Below are 21,080 nucleotides of genomic sequence, written 5' to 3' on the forward strand. Positions count from 1 at the left end.
TCCTGAGTAGCTGGGACTATAGGTGTGCACCACCATGCCCAGCTAATTTTTTATTTTTTTTGTAGTGATGGGATCTGACTATGTTTCCCTGGCTAGTCTTAGACTCCTGGGCTCATACAATTCACCTTGGCTCCCAAAGTGCTGGAATTATAGGTGTGAACCATTGCACCCAGCCCAAAAGTCCAAAATTAAACACTCCCCGTTCTTTCTCTATTCCTCAGGCCCAGGCATGTGTCCAGATCGCTCATCTTTGTGTCGCATGATAAGAACAGCAATCTCCTTTTGGGAAAATCTTGACCCCTCCACATTCACCAAGTGGTGTGAATGGCAGCTGCCAAGTTTTTAGAAAGCCCACACTCCAGGCTACCAGAGTGGACCAATCATAGTCCTCTAATCTCCTGGCCACAGTTAATCAGCCTAGAGTAAGGCACCTGATCAATTAGATCCTACCCTGAGATTTTTAAATTTTGGGCCAGAGAAAATAAACATTGGTTCCTCTTTAGGGCTGGAGTTGGAAGACGTGAGGTATGGAAGCTCCTAGGGGCTGTAATTCTTCTTCTTGGAGATGACTCATCAGAGAGAATGATGCCAATATTCGGAGACATAGAAATGAGAAGTGAAGAGGTAACTCCAGGGAGTTCCAGTCCTTGGCTCCAGGTATCTCTGAGGACCAACTGCACCCGTTCCCTGCCCATAGCTTGCTTAATTCCTCTTTTTCCCAGGTTGGAGTTCCCTCCTTCCAAGCAAACAAGCACAAAGCAATACATTAGCCTTTCAAAGCAGGCCTCACATGGAGACAGCTGAGGCTTGTCTGTACCTCCCCGAAACCCTCAAACTAACTCCCCACTCTCCCCACCTCCCGCAAACAGCAACTCCAGATGGGTAAATGGAGTTTGTGTATAATACAAGAAAGGATGTTATATCTTGCTATATGGCCACTGTTCGCAAGGGAAACTCAAGATGCACCTTAGAGCAATTGTGCCCCCTTGCTGATTCATACTGAGCATGTGGTCACCTCAGAACTTGAGCTGTTTTTCATGTAAACTGTGGAAGCCAAGCCTTTCCCTTTGCCATGCTATGATTGTACAGTTGGGTTTTATTTTATGTTTTTCTTGGATGGGGGAGGTGGTGGGCAAGGCTTGGGACCTAATTGCAATAATTCAACACTTAACTTAGTTAAATGTTATACGTTGGACTGGGGCCAGTGTTCCAGCCCATCGGGATTGTTTTAACTCAGGATTCCATCACTGATGGCAGAATTTCCCAACTGGTCTACCAATAGAATGAATTACAGACGTGCCAGGATATTCATTCCTTTCATTCTTTGCTTGGTGAAGTGAAGCTTGGGACACTTAACCCATGTTAGTGGCTCCTAACTCTTATCATTTTCTGAGTATTCCTATTTCAAGTTCCCATAGTTATGGTAACATTGGGAAGGTAAATGTTTTATAACATAAAATTATTTACTAACAAAAAAATGCTCATTTATGAAATCAGTCCCTACTTAAACATCTCTGCTTGCTTAATCTTGGTGCATGTTTTCATCCATCAGGTCATATTTTTGTTGCTTAGTCTCTCCCAGATTTAAGATTTCTCCACAATAAACTATGAGTGCAATGTGATTTGGTTTTACAGGGTAATTCTAGATTTTGCAAAAGAGAAATTTTTTGAAGTTGATGAAAGTGATGTTGGAAAACTGTATCACAAGTAAAGCTGCTGACAGTTAGAGAGGTTACCTACTGGACAGAAGAAAACCCATACAGATGCTTTCCAATAATCAAAATCAAATAAGATCACATGGTGGTTAAGAGGAGGCCTTAAGAAAATTGTAAAGGTCAAATGTGTTGTGAATCATATTTCAATACAGCTGTTTTAAAAAATCAAATGTGAACTAAGAAATGTTATATTGTGGCTGGGTGCAGTGGCTCATGCCTGTAATCCCAGCGCTTTGGGAGGCCAAGGCAGGCAGATTACAAGGTCAGGAGATAGGGACCATCCTGGCCAACATGGTGAAACCCCATATCTACTAAAAATATAAAAATTAGCTGGGCATGGTGGTGCATGCCTGTAATCCCAGCTACTTGGGAGGCTGAGGCAGCAGAATCGCTTGAACCAGGGAGCTGGAGATTGCAGTGAGCCGAGATCGCCACTGCACTCCAGCTTACTCTGACAGAGCAAGATTCCATCTCAAAAAAAAAAAGAAAGAAAGAAAGAAAAGAAAGAAATGTTATATTGTTTTAGCATAAAATTACGTCATAAAAATGTACTCAAACCCTCCTGTACAAAACCTAACAACAATTGATTTAGTCCTTGTGGGGTTTTAGAATTAGCCTATAAAAGGGGTATAGCTCAGTGGCAGAGCATTTGACTGCAGAATTAGCCTATAGCTGAAATTATAATCAAAACTGTGTTAATATAATAAATAAACTTATTTTCTTAATGTTCAGTTTTGTTTTTCAAAATAAAAGTCCCAATCAAGAATTTATTTTTGTATTTACTATGAAATTTTAACCCAGGCTTAATTGTATCTACCTTAAATGAGCTTTTCCCAGGATCAGTTGTCTTCAGATTATGAGGGCTTCCTAAACCTGCCTTGTTGCCATTCCTGCCATTGTTGCAGCTTTCATCCATTGCTCCTTGCCCTGTCCACTGTAGAAACATAGAAAAGGCCCTGCCCCTCTGTTCTTCCATGTGACAGGCCTTCAAAACTCTGATAGTTCTCGTGGCTCCAATAAAACTTTTCTTTACAACAAGTTCACTTCCTTCAACTATTTCTCATCTGACAGAATTTGAAATTCTCACATTCATTCTATTCAGTCGTTCAACAATTTATTGAGGGCCTGCCATGTCAAGTACTGTTACAGGCCCCAGGAAGACAGCAGTGAGCAATCCCCCCAACTTCCCACCCCACCCTGCTCTTCTGAGGGAGGCTTCCATTCTGTTAAAGGGACAATAAACAAAATGGGCGAATAAATGAATGGATGGCTGGACAGATGGACAGACGGATGGATAACTGGATGGATAGATGGAAAGATGAATAGTTGGATAGATAGATGAGTGGATGGATGGATGGATGGATGGATGGATGATTTGTGTGTGTACTCCTCGTTCAGCCTGCCACTAAAATGTTGAATACTTCTCCAGATAAGCTGACAAATGCAGGGTAGAGGAAGAGCTTCTTCTCTGATGCCAATACTTCTGTTCATAAACCTTCACGTAACACTTTCTTGGAAGTGACATTGCTCTGTTGACTCATGTCTTCAACTAAAGCCACCAGATCTTACATATGCTACTCTTAAAATACATATCCCTTTATCCTGTTCTTGTGCAACTGTTGGACTCTGTGCAGAATTTTATATTGATCCTTATTACTTTGCAACAGACACACATTTAGAATGTAAAATCTGCAAACTGCGGGAACATATTAATATATGCACATCAGCATCACTGCTGTCTACAAACTTAAGAAGTAAAATGCTAATTTTAAAATTAAGTGCTTGAATAAAGCTACTCTAAAAGTTTAGATAGTCCTAATTACTACTATGAAAAAATGACTGCCCTGCCTGAAAGCCATAGTTAACCTGGGCTCTAGGATACCATTAAATAGCCAAGCATGTAACATTTGCCATAATTACAAGCTGGGCCTTTTCTTCTCTTTTTCAAGATGGTTGCTCAGGACAGTCATTTTTTTCTTTAAAGGATGCTGTAAGGACCTATCAAAGAGGCCCCCATGATATCTCAGGTCTGCTTTATGATTCAAAGGGAGCATCCTTCATACCTCTGGATACTCCTGGCATTAAGTAATAGGGTAACACTGTTTAGTGTCCCTCTCCTGCTAGGACACATAAACTTCACAATGGCAGGGGGTGCATCTGACTTTTTCATCAAGTCTCCCCTGGATCTTGCACAGTGCTGCACCCATGGCAGACACTCCATAAACTCAATAAATATTTGATGAATATAAACATAAATTTACAGTCTCATCTATGCCACTAACTGTGTAATACTGGGCAAGTCATCTAACCCCTCTGGGTCCTACTTTGTTCATTTTAAACTAAAGGGATTAGTCCAGATGATCCCAAAGTTTCCTTTTCCCTTCCCTCCCCTCCCCTCCCTTCCCCTCCCCTTCGCTTCCCTTCTCTCCCTCCTTTCTTTCTTTTTTTTTTTTTTTTCAGGGTCTCCCTCTGTTGCCTAGGCTGGAGTGCAGTGGGGCTGTCCTAGCTCACTGAAGTCTTGGATTCCTGAGCTCAAGCGATCCTCCCACCTCAGTCTCTCAAGTAGCTGGGACCACAGGTGCATGCCACCACGCCTAGATAATTATTTTACTTTATTTTTGTAGAGATGGAGGTCTTGCTATATTGCCCAGGCTGGTCTCAAACTCCTGGGCTCAAGCAATCCTCCCGCCTCAGCCTCCCAAAGTGCTGCACTGGCCCTTTTCTAATGTTCATATTCCATATTTCCATCTTGTTGACTCAATGGCTTCTTGCCTCTGTTTCCCCATCAAAGACTCTAAAGCTAGATTGTTTTGCAGAGTATGGGCAAGTTTTAATCACATGCATGCCCCGGACCATGGGAAAGACTAGGGCAAAACACTGTTTTAAAGGATTTCTATAACCTACGGGGATTCCTAATTCAAGTGACTACAAAATAAAAATAAATATTTAGTCTGCCAAATAACTATACAGTTATTTCAGCATTACATTTTTCCAGAAAAAAATCTATAACACAAAAACACAATCACAGTCAGAGATCTTTTCTGGCAACAAACTCAGGCTTTGAGCAAGGATATTCAGAAAATTTTAGAAAATAAAAGGAAAACCCTGGTTCAGAACAAGTTAACAGGTTGGTTCTGTTTGGAATACTAAATGCCAGATCCTGCAACAGAAATGTTTTCCCACATTTCACATGCTCTAAAAGCCGAGTCAACTGCTAGTGCTAATATTATTCTATCTGCTAGTTATGATGAACGTCCTTCCTATCTTATTGCAAGCTTTAACTGCAACTACAGCCTCAAACATTAGCTGTACATGTAAAAAGAAACTTATTTTAGTCTAATTTAAAAGTAGAGCATTTTCATTTCATCATCAGCCTCCCCCGCTATTTCCTGTGTTATCAGATGTTGGAGAGTAAACCAGCAGTCTGTGAAACTGGCAAGCTGGTAGACAAAATAGGCATATTCAACCAGCATTTTCTTAAATAAGAACCTAAGATGGTCTGACTTCTTAATGGTGATGGAGAAGATGCACATATTCAGAAGTTATAAACCCAGAAGAAAAAGTACCAAGGAATTCCCAAAATGACTAACCCAATTCTAGAGGTTTCCTCCAAAACTCTATAGATTGCCTCACTTTTATGCTCTCCTTTAAAAAAAAAAAAAGACACAGCCAATTTAATCTCTGCAGAGACAGACCTATACATATCCCAAGGAACTAACAATTCCAATTGTTAACTAGCTCCTAGACTGGCATACTTAATTCTTCTGTGGGACAGGTTGTTGTATCTGGCACATTTTTAAGTATGGACACAGAAAAATACATGTGCTGTGTAGGCTCCTGTTTGAACTTGAAGAGTAATTTTCTGTTTAGAAACACCCTATGTTACCGAAGACAAATTTGCTCCATGGAAATGGTTGACAATCCAAAGGGCATCAAGCCTCTACATAAGATGCTCATGGGAGGGACATCTTTTCTGCAACTGGGACATTCAAAATGGTCCCAAGAGTTAGGAAAATGGATAATAACTCATGAATATACTCACTCCTCCAGTCATCCATCCAACCACCATTTACTAGGCATCTACCACACATAAAACATTGTCAGTAAGAGACCAGTATTGTTTTTCTAAACGTAAACAGTGAAAATTTTAAAAGTCCCCAAGTTTTTCCCCACAGAACAGGCAATTTTGATCAATTACTGATTTTGTTAATTTTTCTGTGTCTTAGAAAACCAACTGTCCTATTTCAGTCTAAATTTTACCAAACTGGCTGAAACTGAAAATTTTCTGCCCAGAATGAAGACCATATGACAAGCCCTATTGTGGTTTCAATAATTTCTCCAATGGGCAGATCAAGAATCATTTAAGGCATTAAATCATCCTCTTTCCTGGGCCATCTCAGACCTACTCTGGGTCATGTGAATGGCTGGTGGAAACCAAATTGAAAAGCTGCGAAAACATCCTGTAATAACAGGGAAATTAACAAACCCATTCTGTAATGCATATTTACCCCCATTTCCTCTGCCCCCATTATCTTTCTATGAACCCACATGCATAAATCTTCATGCAGACCATAGTAAACAGTACATGTAAAATGTTAAATACATACATTCCTTCATATCCACACAGATAATGGTATAATGTGATATACTCCTAAGACTCAACTTGAGCTAATGTCCATAAACAGAAAGTTATTATTAATGCATTTAAAGTTTCATTTAAAATTCTATTGTGAAGGATAATTTGTTAGCTGAAGTGAATACACTACCATACCTTGATAGGATTTGGAAAAATATTAGATCGAGACCCAGTAATGAAATGCAAGGTATGTAAAATCACACATAGTTGGAATTAAGAAATTTCATGGTTGTAAATGTCTGAGATGTCAACATATTTTTCCCATAAGCATTTTAAAGAGAACAAAAATAGATACAGAGTGGCCAAGTGAATTGCCTCAGGTGGCTCAACCAGTTTCTGTAATCTGGAAATACACACCCTTATTCTCTTACTGATTGTCATAAAGATTGTAGTAACCTAAGAAGACATCAGCCTAAATTTGACAAGAGTCAAAATATGACTCCGTGATAAGTAGCTGTTCTCTCGTTATAGGTATTAGCCCACCCCGAGTGAGTGACGGTGCAGTCATTACAGCAATAACACAAACCAATACCATGTTGCTTCCACTTATCACATCACCCTAATGAAGCTAAGGAAAAAGGCCACCAGGTCTGTACACGCGAACTTAACTTGAAGTGTACCCTACTTGGATTATCTGAGTGCAAGCCCAACATCTTCCTCTAGAGTCTATCATTTTTCTCTTCAAAATTCCTAACTAAAAGTAAAACAGGCTGGGTGTGGTGGCTCATGCCTGTCATCACAACACTTTGGGAGGACAAGGGGAGGACTGCTTCAGTCCAGGAGTTCGAGACTAGCCTGGGCAACATAGTGAGATCCTATCTCTACAAAATAAATTTTTTTTTTAATTAGCCGGGCATGATGGTGCATGCCTGTGGTCCCAGCTATTCAAGAGGCTGAGATGAGAGGATCGCTTGAGCCTGGAAGGTTGAGGCTTCAGTGAGCTATGATGGTGCCACTGCACTCTAGCCTGGGCAACAGAGCAAGACCCTGTCTCAAACAAACAACAAAAAGTAACACATGAACACAGAAAAATTAAAACACTGGAGAAATGTCTAAAACAAAAAGTTCCAAATGTCCTCCATCCACCCAAAGGTAACCACTATCAACAGTTTTTTGTATATCCTTTCAGGAAAAAAAGTAATGCATATACCAACATAAATATATTTCTTTTTAAAACATACCTAAATCACATTATACTATACACATTCTTCTGTATCTTAGTTTTTTCTTTTTATAAATCCTGGCAGACTTTCCATATCAACACAAAGAGAACTGCTTGGTTCTCTCTGAGGTCTGGATGGTATTCCATTGCATAGATGCAACAATAATCTATTTAACTGGGCCCAAGGCCAAACATTATTTTTTGAAGGGCAGACGAGCACCCTGGTTTGATTCTGTCCTCACAAAGGCTGCCAGGAGCTCCGTTTCATTAGTTCTGATGGTAAGCTGTCATTTCGAGGACAGAAACTCTATTGTTAATCAAAGCCAATTTTGTCTCAACTAACACTGTATTTCTGGAGCTTGGGAACAAAGCTAAACAGGTGACAAAATATAGAAGGGAACAAAGAAGGGGGGAGTGGGAAGGAAAAACAAGAAAGAAGAGGTCAGTAGTGAGGGAAAGAAAGAAAAAAATAGGCCGGACGCTGTGGCTCACGCCTGTAATTCCAGCACTTTGAGAGGCTGAGGCAGATGGATCACCTGAGGTCAGGAGTTTGAGACGAGCCTGGCTAACATGGTGAAACCCCATCTCTACTAAAACTAAACTAAACTAAACTAAACTAAAACTAAACTAAACCAAACTAAACTAAACTAAAAACTAAACTAAAAACTAAACTAAACTAAACTAAACTAAGCTGGGTGCAGTGGTGCATGCCTGTGATTCCAGCTACTCGGGAGGCTGAGGCAAGAGAACTGCTTGAACCTGAGAGGGAGAGGTTGCGGTGAGCAGAGATCATGCCACTGCACTCCAGCTTGGGTGACAGAGAAAGACTCTGTCTCAAAATAAATAAATAAATAAATAAGTAAAATAAATAAAGCAGTGTTATACAACATTCCAGCACCTGGCAGATGCTCATTCAATACCTTTGAAATGACTGAATAAATGAATGAGTGAAGAAACTAGAAGAAGTGTACTTTTAACACTTAAAATATTAAAATATTAGGCCCGGCGTAGTGGCTCACGCCTGTAATCCCAGCACTTTGGGAGGCCAAGGTGGGTGGATCACCTGAGGTCGGGAGTTTGAGACCAGCCTGGCCAACATAGAGAAATCCCATCTCTACTAAAAAAAAACCCCACAAAATTAGCCAGGCGTGGTGGCGCACACCTGTAATCCCAGCTACTTGGGAGGCTGAGACAGGAGAATCGCTTGAACCCAGGAGGTGGAGGTTGCAGTCAGCCGAGATGGTGCCACTGCACTCCAGCCTGGGAAACAAGGGCAAAACTCTGTCTCAAAAAAAAAAATTAAAATTAAATTATTAACTGATAGATGGCTCCTATTCTCTGAAAAGTAAACATTCTTTTTGAGCTTCACTGTCCAATATGGCAGTCACTGGCTACATATGGCTACTGAACATTCGAAATCTGTGTTATCTATAAAACACATACTAAATTTCAAATATAAAAGAAAGATGTAAAATATCTCAGTAATTGTTACATTGCTTATATATCAATAAGAGAATATTTTAGATATATTATTACATAAACTATATCATTAAAATTAATTTTACTTGTTTCTTTTTACTTTTTTTAAATTACTGCAGCTGCTAAAAAATTTTGAATTTCACATATGGCCCACATTATACATTTTTTGGATAGCGCTGGTTTTGAATGTAGACACCATCACAGCAGTGACTGTCTTTCCTGCTCTAACTGAGCACCCAACACAGGGCCTTGAGAATATAATAGATGCTCCATAAATAACCATCAGATGAACAGTTGGCTCTGATTTCTACATAAGGCAATAACCAGGCCTTGGACTACAAGACAGGAGGCCCTCACCCTGATCCTAGCCCTAATGGAAAAGCAGGTGTGTGACTTTGGGCAAGTCACTGAACCTGCCTGGGCCTTGTTTCTGTCATCTTTAAAACGGAAATAACATTAACATCTGCCTTATAGGGAAGCTGCACAGGCCAAATGAAATAATGTCGATAAAAGGGTTTTGAAAGAGGGTAACACAGATGTCAGGTCCCTCCTGAATTCTACTATTCTCTTCTAGTAATAGTGCCAGGAGAAGTGAGATGCAAAAAATACTGAAACAACAGGGTAAGAAATTGACCGATAAAATTCCTACATCTGATGTTTCCATTCTGGCATACATTAGAAAATTCAGACAGAGACAGGTGCAAACTTGAAATTCTCACACGAGCGGAAATTTCAGCATTCGTGACTCCCTTTTCCCCGTGGCTCACCAAACACAGTTGACATAGGGACTTGCAGACACTTCTTTGAGGGACCATGAAAGTGTAACGCGAACAGGAGAAGGCCCTCTCTGGGTGGCCGCCGAAGCGGCAGGAGAGGCCGAGTTTACCACCCCACCGAGATCTCTCGGCTTTGCAGGAAAACTGTAATCCTGGGCGACTCTGAAGGCTCAGGGGAAAATTTCCATGGGCACAAAATCTATTGTAGGCATTAGTCCTCGTTAACTATTCCAGGAGCAGCAGGCAGTGACCCACAGTTAGGAGTGTGAACAACCCCTGATTCCGCAAGGCAGTTAGGGTATCAGGCAGGGGAAACCCCAAGTGACTCTTGGACAGGCTGTAGCTTTTTAGTGACATTGGAAGGATTTCACTATCCCAGCTGGGTATCTTCTTCCCCAAATCAAAAAGATCATTTCAAAAAGGAAGAGAAAAAGAAAGCGTCCTTCAGCAGGGGGTATTTAAGGAGGATCCTGGAGGAGGCAATTGCAGAGTGGCTTAACCCACAGCAGAGAAAGAGCAACCCAACAGCCCACAGGCACAAGGCACCAGGACAGCAGCACCACAATCGTTGCTTTCAAGAGATCCAAGCCTAGATTTTCCCCTCAGTCCTGCAAAGTGCCCCATAAGCCCCAGAAGTCGTCCATGACTTACCATCTGCGAGGCCACGACACCGAGCAGAGCGCAGCAACTTCCCCTTTGCTCAGAGGGTCTGACTCCCTTCTCTTCTCTCAGGGCTGCTGCCTGTGACGCGCCAAGGCCAGGCTCTGAGCCCCTTGGGACTACTGTGCCCATAACAGCCCATAATAGCCTATAACAGACCACAGGGCCTGAGCTACCGCGGGCTCCTGTGACCCAAAAACCGAAAGACAAGACACCAGGCATGGAGCAAAGCTCAAAGCTGGGCTGCATAGCAGAACCAACTTGAAGGCTTTTTCAAATTCATATTCCCAGGACAAACCTCTAGAGATTCCTATTCAGTAGGTCTGGGGTGGGGCCCAGGTATCCACATTTTAAACATAGTGCAGGGAAATTGCCAATGCTCAGCCTGACTTGGAAATTTATGGCCTGGAGCACTCAGGGAAGCGTCATTTTCTCTGATCCTTTCTCTTCCTTGAGCATTCTTCATTCTTTATCTCAGTGTGGAAGAGGAGGGTGGAGAGGAAAGACTTAGGGGAGAAGCAAGGCCAAGTGTAAGCTTTCTAGGCCCAAAGGCCCTGTGTTCCAAAGTGAGTTCCAGTGCTTACCCCAATCATTTAACCTCTCTGAACCTTAGTTTTCTCATCTGCAAAATGGCGCTGAAACCATCTGTGCACTTGGGGTTGTGGGAGGAATAAATACATGTAAAACACCTGATGCATTACACAGGGTAACTGTCATAAAAACCATTCATCTTCTTATGAATTATTTCCCTGAGGGGAGGAGGGTACACATTCTCCATACGACTATCCTTGCAAGAGAAACTGCAAATGTAAACGACAGACTGAACCAAGCATAAAGGGAATAAAATAAAATAAATAGCAGTAAGGAAGGCGGTAGATTCAGGTTGCATGGGGGAGGGTGGGGAGATGCTAAGAGCAGGCTTGCAACCCTGTCTCTGGGGACTCTATAGCAGTATGATCCAGAGGAAATTAACAGAGATTCACAAAGATTTAGGCATGAAGCTGTATGAACATTTATTGCAATATTATTTATAAAAGGGGAAAAATTAGAACTTACAGGGGTTTTTTTCTTCTTTAACATTATGACAAACACAAATTATTTCAGAAAAAAGTTTCTTTTTAAATTTAAGAAAAGTTACACAATGGAATATTTTTCAGCTATAAGAAAGAAGAAAATCTTGCCATTTGTGACAATGTGGATGAACCTGGAGGACATTATGCAAAGTGAAATAACCCAGATACAGGAAGGCAAATACAGAATGATCTCACTTATATGTGGAATCCAAAAAAGTTGAACTCATAGAAGCAGAGAATACAACGGTGTTTACCAGGGACAGGGGTAAAGAAGGGGACTTGGGAAGATGCTGGTCAAAGAGTTGAACTTTCAGTTTTAAGATGAATAAACTCAGGCCAGACGCGGTGGCTCATGCCTGTAATCCCAACAGTTCAGGAGGCCGAGGCGGGAGGATCATGAGGTCAAGACATCGAGACCATCCTGGCCAACATGGTGAAACCCCATCTCTACTAAAAATACAAAAATTAGCTGGGCGTGTTGGCACGTGCCTGTAGTCCCAGCTACTCAGGAGGCTGAGGCAGGAGAATCGCTTGAACCGTGGAGGCAGAGGTTGCAGTGAGCCGAGATCACGCCACTGCACTCCAGCCTGATGACAGAGCAAGACTTCGTCTCAAAAAAAAAAAAAAAAGAATAAACTCTGAGCATCTAACGTACAGCATGGTGATTATAGTTAATAATACCACATTTTTTACTTGAAATTTGCTAAGACTAGACTTTAAGTGTTCTCACCACACACACACACACACACACACACACACACACAATGGTAACTATGTGTGCTGATGTATGTGTTAATTAATTTGATTGTGATAATCATTTCACAAAGTATATGTATAAAAAAATCACTTTGTACACTTTGAATATATACAATTTTTATTTGTCAAGTATACCTCAATAAAACTAGAAAATATTAATTAATTAATTAGTTAATTAACTTAGGAAAACATTTTGGAATCTATTTGATTAGCTGAAAGCATTTTTAAATATTCCTTTATTTTTCTTTTTCTTTGAGACAGGGTCTCGCTCTGTCTCCCAGGCTGGAGTGCAGTGCTGCAATCACAACTCACTGCAGCCTCAACTTCCAGGGCTCGAGCAATCTTCCCACCTCAGCCTCTCCGGTAGCTGGGATCACAGGCACATGCCACCACGTCCAGCTAATTTTTGTATTTTTTGTAGAGACAGGGTTTCCACCACATTGCCCAGGCTGGTCTTGAAATCCTGGCCTCAAGCAATCTGTTCCCCGCAGTCTCCCAAACTGTTAGAATTACAGTTGTGAGCCACTGCACCCAGCCCTTATTTTTTCTTTTAAACTGTAGTTTAATATTCAGACTAGAACATTAATATCAACAAAGGCAGGCCAGATGTAGATATATAGACATATCCCTCTAAATTTTTCCCATGGAAATCAAAGGCAAAATATATGATACTTGTGGGTACCATGAGAGCTTCTGAAACACAATGGGAATGGAGAGGGAGGGGCGAGGCAAAGAGAAAATAATGCATAAAAAGAAGCAGACAAGATCTCCACTGTAATACTATTAATAAATAATATTGGGAGAATTCGGTTTAATGCTTCCCTCCACCCTCAACACACACAAATGCACATCACACGAATGAGAACTTTTGCAAAAACACTCAATATCACCCACAGAGTCCTTTCCCACACAGTCTAACAGAATCTATTTTTATATTCCATTGAGATTTGAAGCAAAGAATAGAGCCCCAGTAAAAAGAGGAAATAATTTCTGTGCTGTACCTGGGGTTTTCTCACTTCCTTAATTTAAAATAATCTTCCAACAAGTCCAAAAAGTCAGATCAATAGTCCAGTCTTCTATGCACAGGTATATATCACTGCAAACGTTTTGGAACTAAACTGAATCAGTTAAAAAGGTTCTCGGGAATTTGCCATCTTCTTAGAAAACTTATAATGGTATATTACAGTGCTGGAGGCTGAAAGAAACCTTCCAAATTATCTGGTCCAACCCCATCATTTTACAGATGAAGAACTTGGAAAATAAACTGGCTGATCCAACACACTGAAGACTCCAATTAAAACATCTGCTTAATTTTAAGGTGGCTGACAAATTTGGAGAGTGGGGTGGGAAATAAAACCTCCAAAACATATTTTAGTAGTAATTTTGATCAAGGGGCTTATTAAATGAAGAAAGAGTAAAGATTGTGATCTCAGTAGCACCCCATCCCAACATCTAGAAACCTGAAAGATTAAAAACTGCCAGAGTGAACGCACCGAATCTATGAGCAGGGGCAAAGGAAGAGAACGCAGGAGCTCTACCCTGAAGTCTGATGGCCTAAGCACCAAATACTGGCCTAATTTTATATCTAACTGATGGGTGTCCAGGAGCTGCCCTGATGTGATGGTGCCTCCATTTCCGGAGAAGTGGAGATTAGAGAAAATACTTCCCATGCGACAGAGGTACATGACCATTGACCTGACAACAGAAAGGTGGCTTAGACCCCTTGTTTGTACTCAGTGGTACCTGGACCAGCAGCATCAGCATCACCTGTGAGCTTGTTAGAAATGCAGAATCTGGCTGGGTGCGGTGGCTCACGCCTGTAATCCCAACACTTTGTGAGGCTGAGGCAGGCAGATCACTTGAGGTCAGGAGTTCAAGACCAGCCTGGCCAACATGGTGAAACCCCATCACTACTAAAAATACAAAAATCAGCCAGGCATGGTGGTGCATGCCTGTAATTCCATCTACTTGGGAGGCTGAGGCAGGAGAATTGCTCGAACCCAGGGAGGCAGAGGTAGCAGTGAGCCGAGATTGCGCCACTGTATTCCAGCCTGGGTGACAGAGCGAGACTCTATCTCAAAAAGAAAAAAAAAAGAAAAAAGAAAAAAAAAGAAATGCAGGATCTTGGCCCCACCCAAGGAGTCAGTATATGCATATTTACAAGATCCCCAGGTCCTTCTGTGCACATTAAAATTTGAGAAGCATTGTTTAGCTAGCATAGCAGCAAAAGAAAGTATAATTGACTACCTGTAATCTAAGTTTCAAGAATAAAATAACCTCCTCTACTCTATTACCCACTCCACTCTCTTTGATCTTTAAGCTTTACTTTAAACTTTACATGGTCTAAAATTTAGCCTAAATTTTAAATGGGCTTAGTGAATATCTCATTAAATAGTCCTTTTTATCAAAAGGTATCTCAAAGTTAAGAAAAATAGACATATAGCCATGTAAATATTCTGGGACTTTTACCATTTTAAAGGGTTACATAAATTATAAAGTGAGGTATTTTTCATGCTATTTACTGCTGGGGTCTGAGTAGGAACATGACCAGTATTTCTTCAGTTGGGAGTCAAAAACCTCAGGTATACCAGGTGAAGGAGGAAAATTGAATTCAGAAGAGAAATGTGTTCCTGGTGAAAAGGGGAACTTCTTGTAAGGGAATGTTATGATCAAAAGGCTGTAAAGGTCACATGGCCCAACCCTGGCCCCAAAGCTAAATCCCTTTACAGCACGTCTGCAGTATCTACTCTCTTACTCCTGGAGATGTGGCACTTACCACCTTCAAAGGCAACCCATTCCACCTTCACACAGCTCTAATAATTAGGAAGTTTTTCCTAAAATTTGTCTCCCTGTAGTTTCAATAGCCCTACAATCAATAACTCCACAATTATTGTCTCTACTATTAATTCATCCCCATTATCAATTTTCCATTGCATTTCTTTTTTTTTTTTTTTTTTGAGACAGGGTGTCACTCTGTTGATCCCCAGGCTGGAATGCAGTGGCTCAGTCACAGCTCACTGCAGCCTCAACCTCCAAGGCTCAGGTGATCCTCCCACCTCAGCCTCCCAAGTAGCTAGGACAACAGGTACACACCACCATGCCCAGCTAATTTTTGTATTTTTTGTAGAGACAGGGTTTTGCCATGTTGTCCAGACAGGTCTCAAACTTCAAAGCAGAAATCCTTCTGCTCCAGCCTCCCAAAGTGCTGGGATTACAGGCATAAGCCACTATGCCCAGCCAGTTGTTTTTTTTTTTTTTTTTTTTTTTTTTTGAGATGGAGTCTTGATCTGTCACTCAGGCTGGAGTGCAGTGGTGCCATCTCGGCTCACTGCAAGCTCCGCCTCCCAGGTTCACGCCATTCTCCTGCCTCAGCCTCCCGAGTAGCTGGGACTACAGGCGCCCGCCACCTCGCCCGACTAATTTTTTGTATTTTTAGTAGAGACAGGGTTTCACCGTGTTAGCCAGGATGGTCTCAAACTCCTGACCTCGTGATCCGCCCGCCTCGGCCTCCCAAAGGGCTGGGATTACAGGCGTGAGCCACCGCTCCCGGCCATGCCCAGCCAATTTCTTATTGGGATTCTTTTTTTTAACAGAGAAAGTCAAAGAAACAAGTTTCATGTACTTATTTCTCATGGGACTGGGCAGCTGGTGTAGTAACGTATATGAAAATATTAGCTTTTGCTTTTATTTTGAGGTACCTTAGGAAAACCTCATGTATGCAAGAGGAGTATTTTTTAAAAAGATGGGTTATCACAAGTTATAGGGAATGTACCTAAGGACACAATTATCCCAGAAATGTAGTGTAGGGAGAGTACTGTCTTTAGATACTGTTCTAGCCCTAAGCTTCCTGGGAGTCAAAGCAGGTATGAAATGTGGCAAGAAGGTCATACTTCAAAAATATTTAAGATTTTCTGGCCTAGGTGAATCACAGATTTTTAGCCTTGGGAAGTGTCTTAGATCAAGTCTAAATCTGCCACTTACAGAAAAGGAAACTGGAACTCAAAGAGGCAAAATGACTTGCTCAGTACTAGGCATCTGGTTAGCAGCAGAGCCGGGTAATGCAGTGTCCCTAACCCTGGTCAATGCTCTTTTTTCTACACTGCCAGACTCTGAGTATCAGGTTTGTTAAGAAAGCTTGTCCAGCAAAAAAAATCAGGAATATGGCCTCAGAGTCAAGGCCAACCAAGGGCCATGGCTATGGAATACCCAAAAAGCAAACCCAAGTCATCCTAGCACCGACAGAGATCTTGAATCCCCAAATTCACAAACCTAATACCAGATAAGAAAGTTATATTGAGGCTATAAGGCTTCCTTCCTCCTCTTCTCTTTCTTACAATTCCATTTGTCCCTATATCCATTGATTCTGAACTGCAAAGATATCCCACTAAGCAGCTTATTTTAATCTCCCATTAAAGTAATCTCTTTCTGATGAGAAGTTCCTGCTCTTAGAACAGGAGCACCCTGTAAATGAGTTCATTCTTTCCGAGACACTTGAAGCTAAAGGCTCATAGCATACTGAACTACAGTCTTTGGTAAAAAGTGAAATAGTAGAAGAGATCAATTTATCCAGGTATTGAATCACTGGACACATCCAAACAATATTAAAATAATCCTTTTTTCTATCTACTTCAAAAAATAACACTACTGTTTTTTGTTTGTTTGTTTGTTTTGAGACGGAGTCTTGCTCTGTCGCCCAGGCTGGAGTGCAGTGGCACAATTTCGGCTCACTGCAACCTCCGCCTCCCGGGCTCAAGTGATTCTTCTGCCTCAGCCTCCCGAGTAGCTGGGATTACAGGCACGCACCATCACGACTAGCTAATTTTTGTATTTTTTTAGTAGAGATGGAGTTTCACCATATTGGCCAGGCTGGTCTCTAACTCCTGACCTCATGATCCGCCCGCCTCGGCCTCCCAAAGTGCTGGGATTACAGGTGTGCACCACTGCGCCCAGCCACACTACTGTAATATTTTAAAGAACAATCTGTTACAGCGTACAGTATGAGATGCCCAGTCAGTGGCAATACATCCATGGTGGGTTCCAGGGGCTGGCCTGCGAGATCCTAATGGACCGATGCAATGACATAAGATCATCCACAGAAACAACCAGTTGTGTCTCAGTTTTTTGTAAGTTTGGGCAGATCACAATTCCTTCAAAGTAATGAAAGGCAATCATGCAAAAATGAATTATATGCTTTTTCTATCATTGTCTTTCTAACGTAAAGATAAGCAAACTCTAGAAAAAGTACTAATCCAGGTCCCGGCATTTCAGGTGAGACATGTTTTACATTCACACTAGTGATTTATGTTACAAAATGAGAAGGAATCTTACTTTGTTAAAAGACGTGGTCATGTTTATTGGTTTAGAGTAGCCAATTCCTGGGATAAAAGCACCTAGGAAGTTACATTACCTTTTTAAGGCCACTGAAAATTAGTAAATTCTTGATTTCATTTATCAGATGGCATAGGGGTGGGTGAGACAAATTAATGCCCAAGTCACACCAGGGATAACTGAGGCACAGTTAAATCAGGACCATAATTTTCCAGGCTTCTTTGCTGGCGTCAGGTATATAAGATCTCATGTGGCAAGAGAACAGAATATAAACACATAGCCCATTCATAGCCCACAGTGAGGCAAAAATAGAAAACAAAAAGAGGCTAGGCGTGGTGGCTCACGCCTGTAATCCCAGCACTTTGGGAGGCCGAGGCAGGTGGATCACCTGAGGTCAGGAGTTTGAGACCAGCCTGACCAACATGGTAAAATCCCGTCTCTACTAAAAATACAAAAATTAGCCAGGTGTGGTGGTGGGCACCTGCAATCCCAGCTACTCGGGAGGCTGAGGCAGGAGAATCACTTGAATCCAGGAGGTGGAGGTTGCAGTGAGCTGAGATCACACCACTGCACTCCAACCTGGACGTCAGAGCGAGGATCTGTCTCAAAAAAAAAAAAAAAAAAAAAAAAAAAGCAAAAAGAAAGCAAAAAGAGGAAGAAAAGCTGTGATATGTGTCCATCCCAGAGCATGTCTTCTGTTACTGTTAATCAGAGTGTGTGTCACACTTCCTGGGGCCACTGAAGTCACTAACCCCGGCAGAAAGGATCGGAATTTTCCTACTCTAAAAGGAGAAATGGCAAAATATAGAAGCTAGGCTGGTGGGAAATAGAGAAGAGGGCTATTTCTCTATAAACATGTTATCGAAAAAAACAATGCCTTGGCGGGGCACGGAGGCTCATGCCTGTAGGCCCAGCACTTTGGGAGGCTGAGGCGGGTGGATCATTTGATATCAGGAGTTCAAGATCAGCCTGACCAACATGATAAAACCCTGTTTCTACTATAAATAGAAAAAAATTAGCCAAGCATGGTGGCACACACCTGTAATCCCAGCTACTCGGGAGGCTAAGGCAGGAGAATCGTTTGAACCTGGAGGCAGAGGTTGCAGTCCACTGAGATCGCACCATTGCGATCCAGCCTGGGTGACAGAGGGAGACTCCGACTCAAAAAAAAAAAAAAAAAAACCCTTTTTTAACAAAAATGTGAAGTTCGCGTGATGATAAAATGGAAGTAACATGCAAGCAGGAGAGTGGGCAGTCTTGTTCCTCACACCAACAGCAAACTAAGTCTCTGCCTCCCAGCCCCAACTACTTTCTAGGCTGGAACTCTGTCCTGTGTCTTCCAAGGCACAGAAAATTCTAGAAAGAAGGCCTTTGCCCTAGTACAGAAGAAAAGGGACAGTGTCCTCTTCCTCTCCTGATAGTCCAGGAGAGCTGTCCTGCCCCTATCCCACCCCAGAAATAGGCTGCTCTAAACCCATAAATATGACCAGGTCTCTTAACATAGTGAGATCCCCGCTCATTTTGGAATATAAACTTACACCTAGGACCTGGATTAGCAACTTTTCTAGGGCTTGCTTATCTTTAGAAGAAATCCTTACCTTCGGAAATGGCTTTTTTCACAGCTGCCACGTAGGTCTCTGGCTCATCGTCACAGGTGAGCTCCTGCCAATGGGCCCAATCTGGAAAGAAGTCTAGGAACTCCTCGCTGTCCCGCACGCCGCAGAGCAGCCTGACCACGCGGTGCGGAGGATGGAAAGCTCTCTGCAGCAGGGGCAGCAAGGCGGGCTTGTGGAAGTGCTGCACCAGCTCCGCGGACAGCAGCACCACGACACAGCGGGTGCTGAGGAAAAGGCTTAGGTCCTCTGCCGAGAAGGAGGCCTCGGGGCCCAGCCTGTGAGTCAGTATCTTCTGGCTGCGGACCTGCCGACTGGACAGGAACAGGGTCTGCAGGTACTGGCACCATTCCTCGGCATCCGGGCTGTAGACGATGAGGATGTCGCATCCTCTGGGCACCCCTGGACAAGAATGAGGCACAGAAGCATGTTAGCACACCTCCCCTTCTAGGTGGCTCCCCACAGCCTGCAAAGGTAGAGCATCCAGACACTGGGTCTGGCACCCACAATCTTTCGTGGTGTGCCTCCAGCACACCAGCACACCTCACTCACGCATTTCTTTCCCCATTTACAGTCTGTGTTCCAATCATACCAGACTCCTTATCTTTGCCCAAACATACCACGCTGTTTTATTATTTATTTATTTATTTATTTATTTAGAGACTGAGTCTCGCTCTATCACCCAGGCTGGAGTCAGTGGCCCAATCTCAGCTCACTGCAACCTCTGCCTCCCGGGTTCAAGCGATTCTCCTGCCTCAGCCTCCCAAGTAACTGGGATTACAGATGCCTGCCATCACGCCAAGCTAATTTTTGTAGTTTTAGTAGAGATGGGGTTTCACTATGTTGGCCAGGCTAGTCTTGAACTTCTGACCTCAAGTGATCCACCCATCCCTGCCTCCCAAAGTGCTGGGATTACAGGCGTGAGCCACCAGGCCCAACCCCATACTGTTTTAGATCCTTGCACGAGCTATTGCTTCTGCCTGGCATGCACCTTCCCCCCACACCTGAAGCAGTATGAGATCATAACAATAATAACAATAATAATAAATAATAATAATCGCAACAGCAAACACTTATATAGAGGTTACTATGTTCCAGGCACTCTTCCAAGCACATTGCCTACTAAACTCATTACATCTTCACAGCAACTTTAGAAGGTAGGTACTATTATTAGCCCATTCTTTAAAAAAATGAGAAACCTGAGGTGTGACAGGTTAAGTAATTTGCACAAGATTCACAGTGGCCAAGTAAGGATTTGAGTTAAATTAGATATTTCATGTAAACTGCTAAGCACAGTGCTTGTCATATAGAAAACCCTCAGGAATTGGTAGCTGGTGTCATCATCCTCACATGAATATAAATAATGTATCATATTAAAGTGCATGGTAGTTGTGAATTAATGCTGTTACCTCCACAATACAATCTGCAAGGTGTCCCTCACCACACCTGGCCTATAACATAGGCTTTCTTCCTCTAACAAAGCACAAATGCCAAAAAGAGAGTCAAAAAGGGCTTTTAGGGATCACTTGGCCCAAACTCCTCATTTACAGATGAAAGAAACATTTCATCTAGGAAGGTTAAGGGACTTGCTCAACTTCATACTCTAGATTATTGGCAGAGCCAGAACTGACACTCAGGTTATTCCCTGGTTCCCAGTCCAGCCTCCTTCCCAACTCACCTGCACCACCCATCAGGAACTATGTCAAGAATCTTACGAGTAGTAAGTCATAGCTTCCAACTACCAAAGTTCAAAAAAGCTTGGCTCTTAATGTAACTGTTACCACTGTTTTGGGTCATCATCTCTCCATGAATTCAACAAACTGTTCTGTGTGTGGTTTGGAAGAGGTGAGTATAAAGTGTCCATACAACACAACAGGGAACT

At 42.2% G+C, this 21,080-nt stretch overlaps 1 protein-coding gene across 4 annotated transcripts in view, besides 5 other annotated features; it reads right to left on the minus strand.

Annotated features, from left to right (window-relative positions):
• PIK3AP1 (phosphoinositide-3-kinase adaptor protein 1) overlaps positions 1-21,080 on the minus strand; it is a 127,200-nt gene that overhangs the window by 97,069 nt on the left and 9,051 nt on the right. For 3 of the 4 annotated variants that reach the window (XM_011539248.2, NM_152309.3, XM_047424566.1), the window contains one exon: positions 19,184-19,600. In XM_011539248.2, coding sequence (XP_011537550.1) covers positions 19,184-19,600 — 417 coding nt within the window. Of the gene's footprint in view, positions 1-10,419; positions 10,462-19,183; positions 19,601-21,080 lie in introns of those variants that run through there. The other variant, XM_005269499.2, reaches the window with a different exon arrangement.
• Positions 5,126-5,175: a silencer, noted in NCBI's record as "silent region_2657". NCBI's record gives its function as "represses an Ori minimal core promoter by ATAC-STARR-seq in GM12878 lymphoblastoid cells {active_cell/tissue: GM12878}" and the evidence as "EXISTENCE:reporter gene assay evidence [ECO:0000049][PMID:35858748]".
• Positions 9,960-10,460: an enhancer, noted in NCBI's record as "H3K4me1 hESC enhancer chr10:98460100-98460600 (GRCh37/hg19 assembly coordinates)". NCBI's record gives its function as "activates a minimal SCP1, AML or CMV promoter by ChIP-STARR-seq in primed H9 embryonic stem cells {active_cell/tissue: H9 hESC(primed)}" and the evidence as "EXISTENCE:reporter gene assay evidence [ECO:0000049][PMID:30033119]".
• Positions 10,069-10,118: an enhancer, noted in NCBI's record as "active region_3835". NCBI's record gives its function as "activates an Ori minimal core promoter by ATAC-STARR-seq in GM12878 lymphoblastoid cells {active_cell/tissue: GM12878}" and the evidence as "EXISTENCE:reporter gene assay evidence [ECO:0000049][PMID:35858748]".
• Positions 10,709-10,828: an enhancer, noted in NCBI's record as "active region_3836". NCBI's record gives its function as "activates an Ori minimal core promoter by ATAC-STARR-seq in GM12878 lymphoblastoid cells {active_cell/tissue: GM12878}" and the evidence as "EXISTENCE:reporter gene assay evidence [ECO:0000049][PMID:35858748]".
• Positions 10,889-10,978: an enhancer, noted in NCBI's record as "active region_3837". NCBI's record gives its function as "activates an Ori minimal core promoter by ATAC-STARR-seq in GM12878 lymphoblastoid cells {active_cell/tissue: GM12878}" and the evidence as "EXISTENCE:reporter gene assay evidence [ECO:0000049][PMID:35858748]".

The sequence above is a fragment of the Homo sapiens genome, chromosome 10, assembly GCF_000001405.40.
Source record: "Homo sapiens chromosome 10, GRCh38.p14 Primary Assembly".
NCBI lineage: Eukaryota > Metazoa > Chordata > Mammalia > Primates > Hominidae > Homo > Homo sapiens.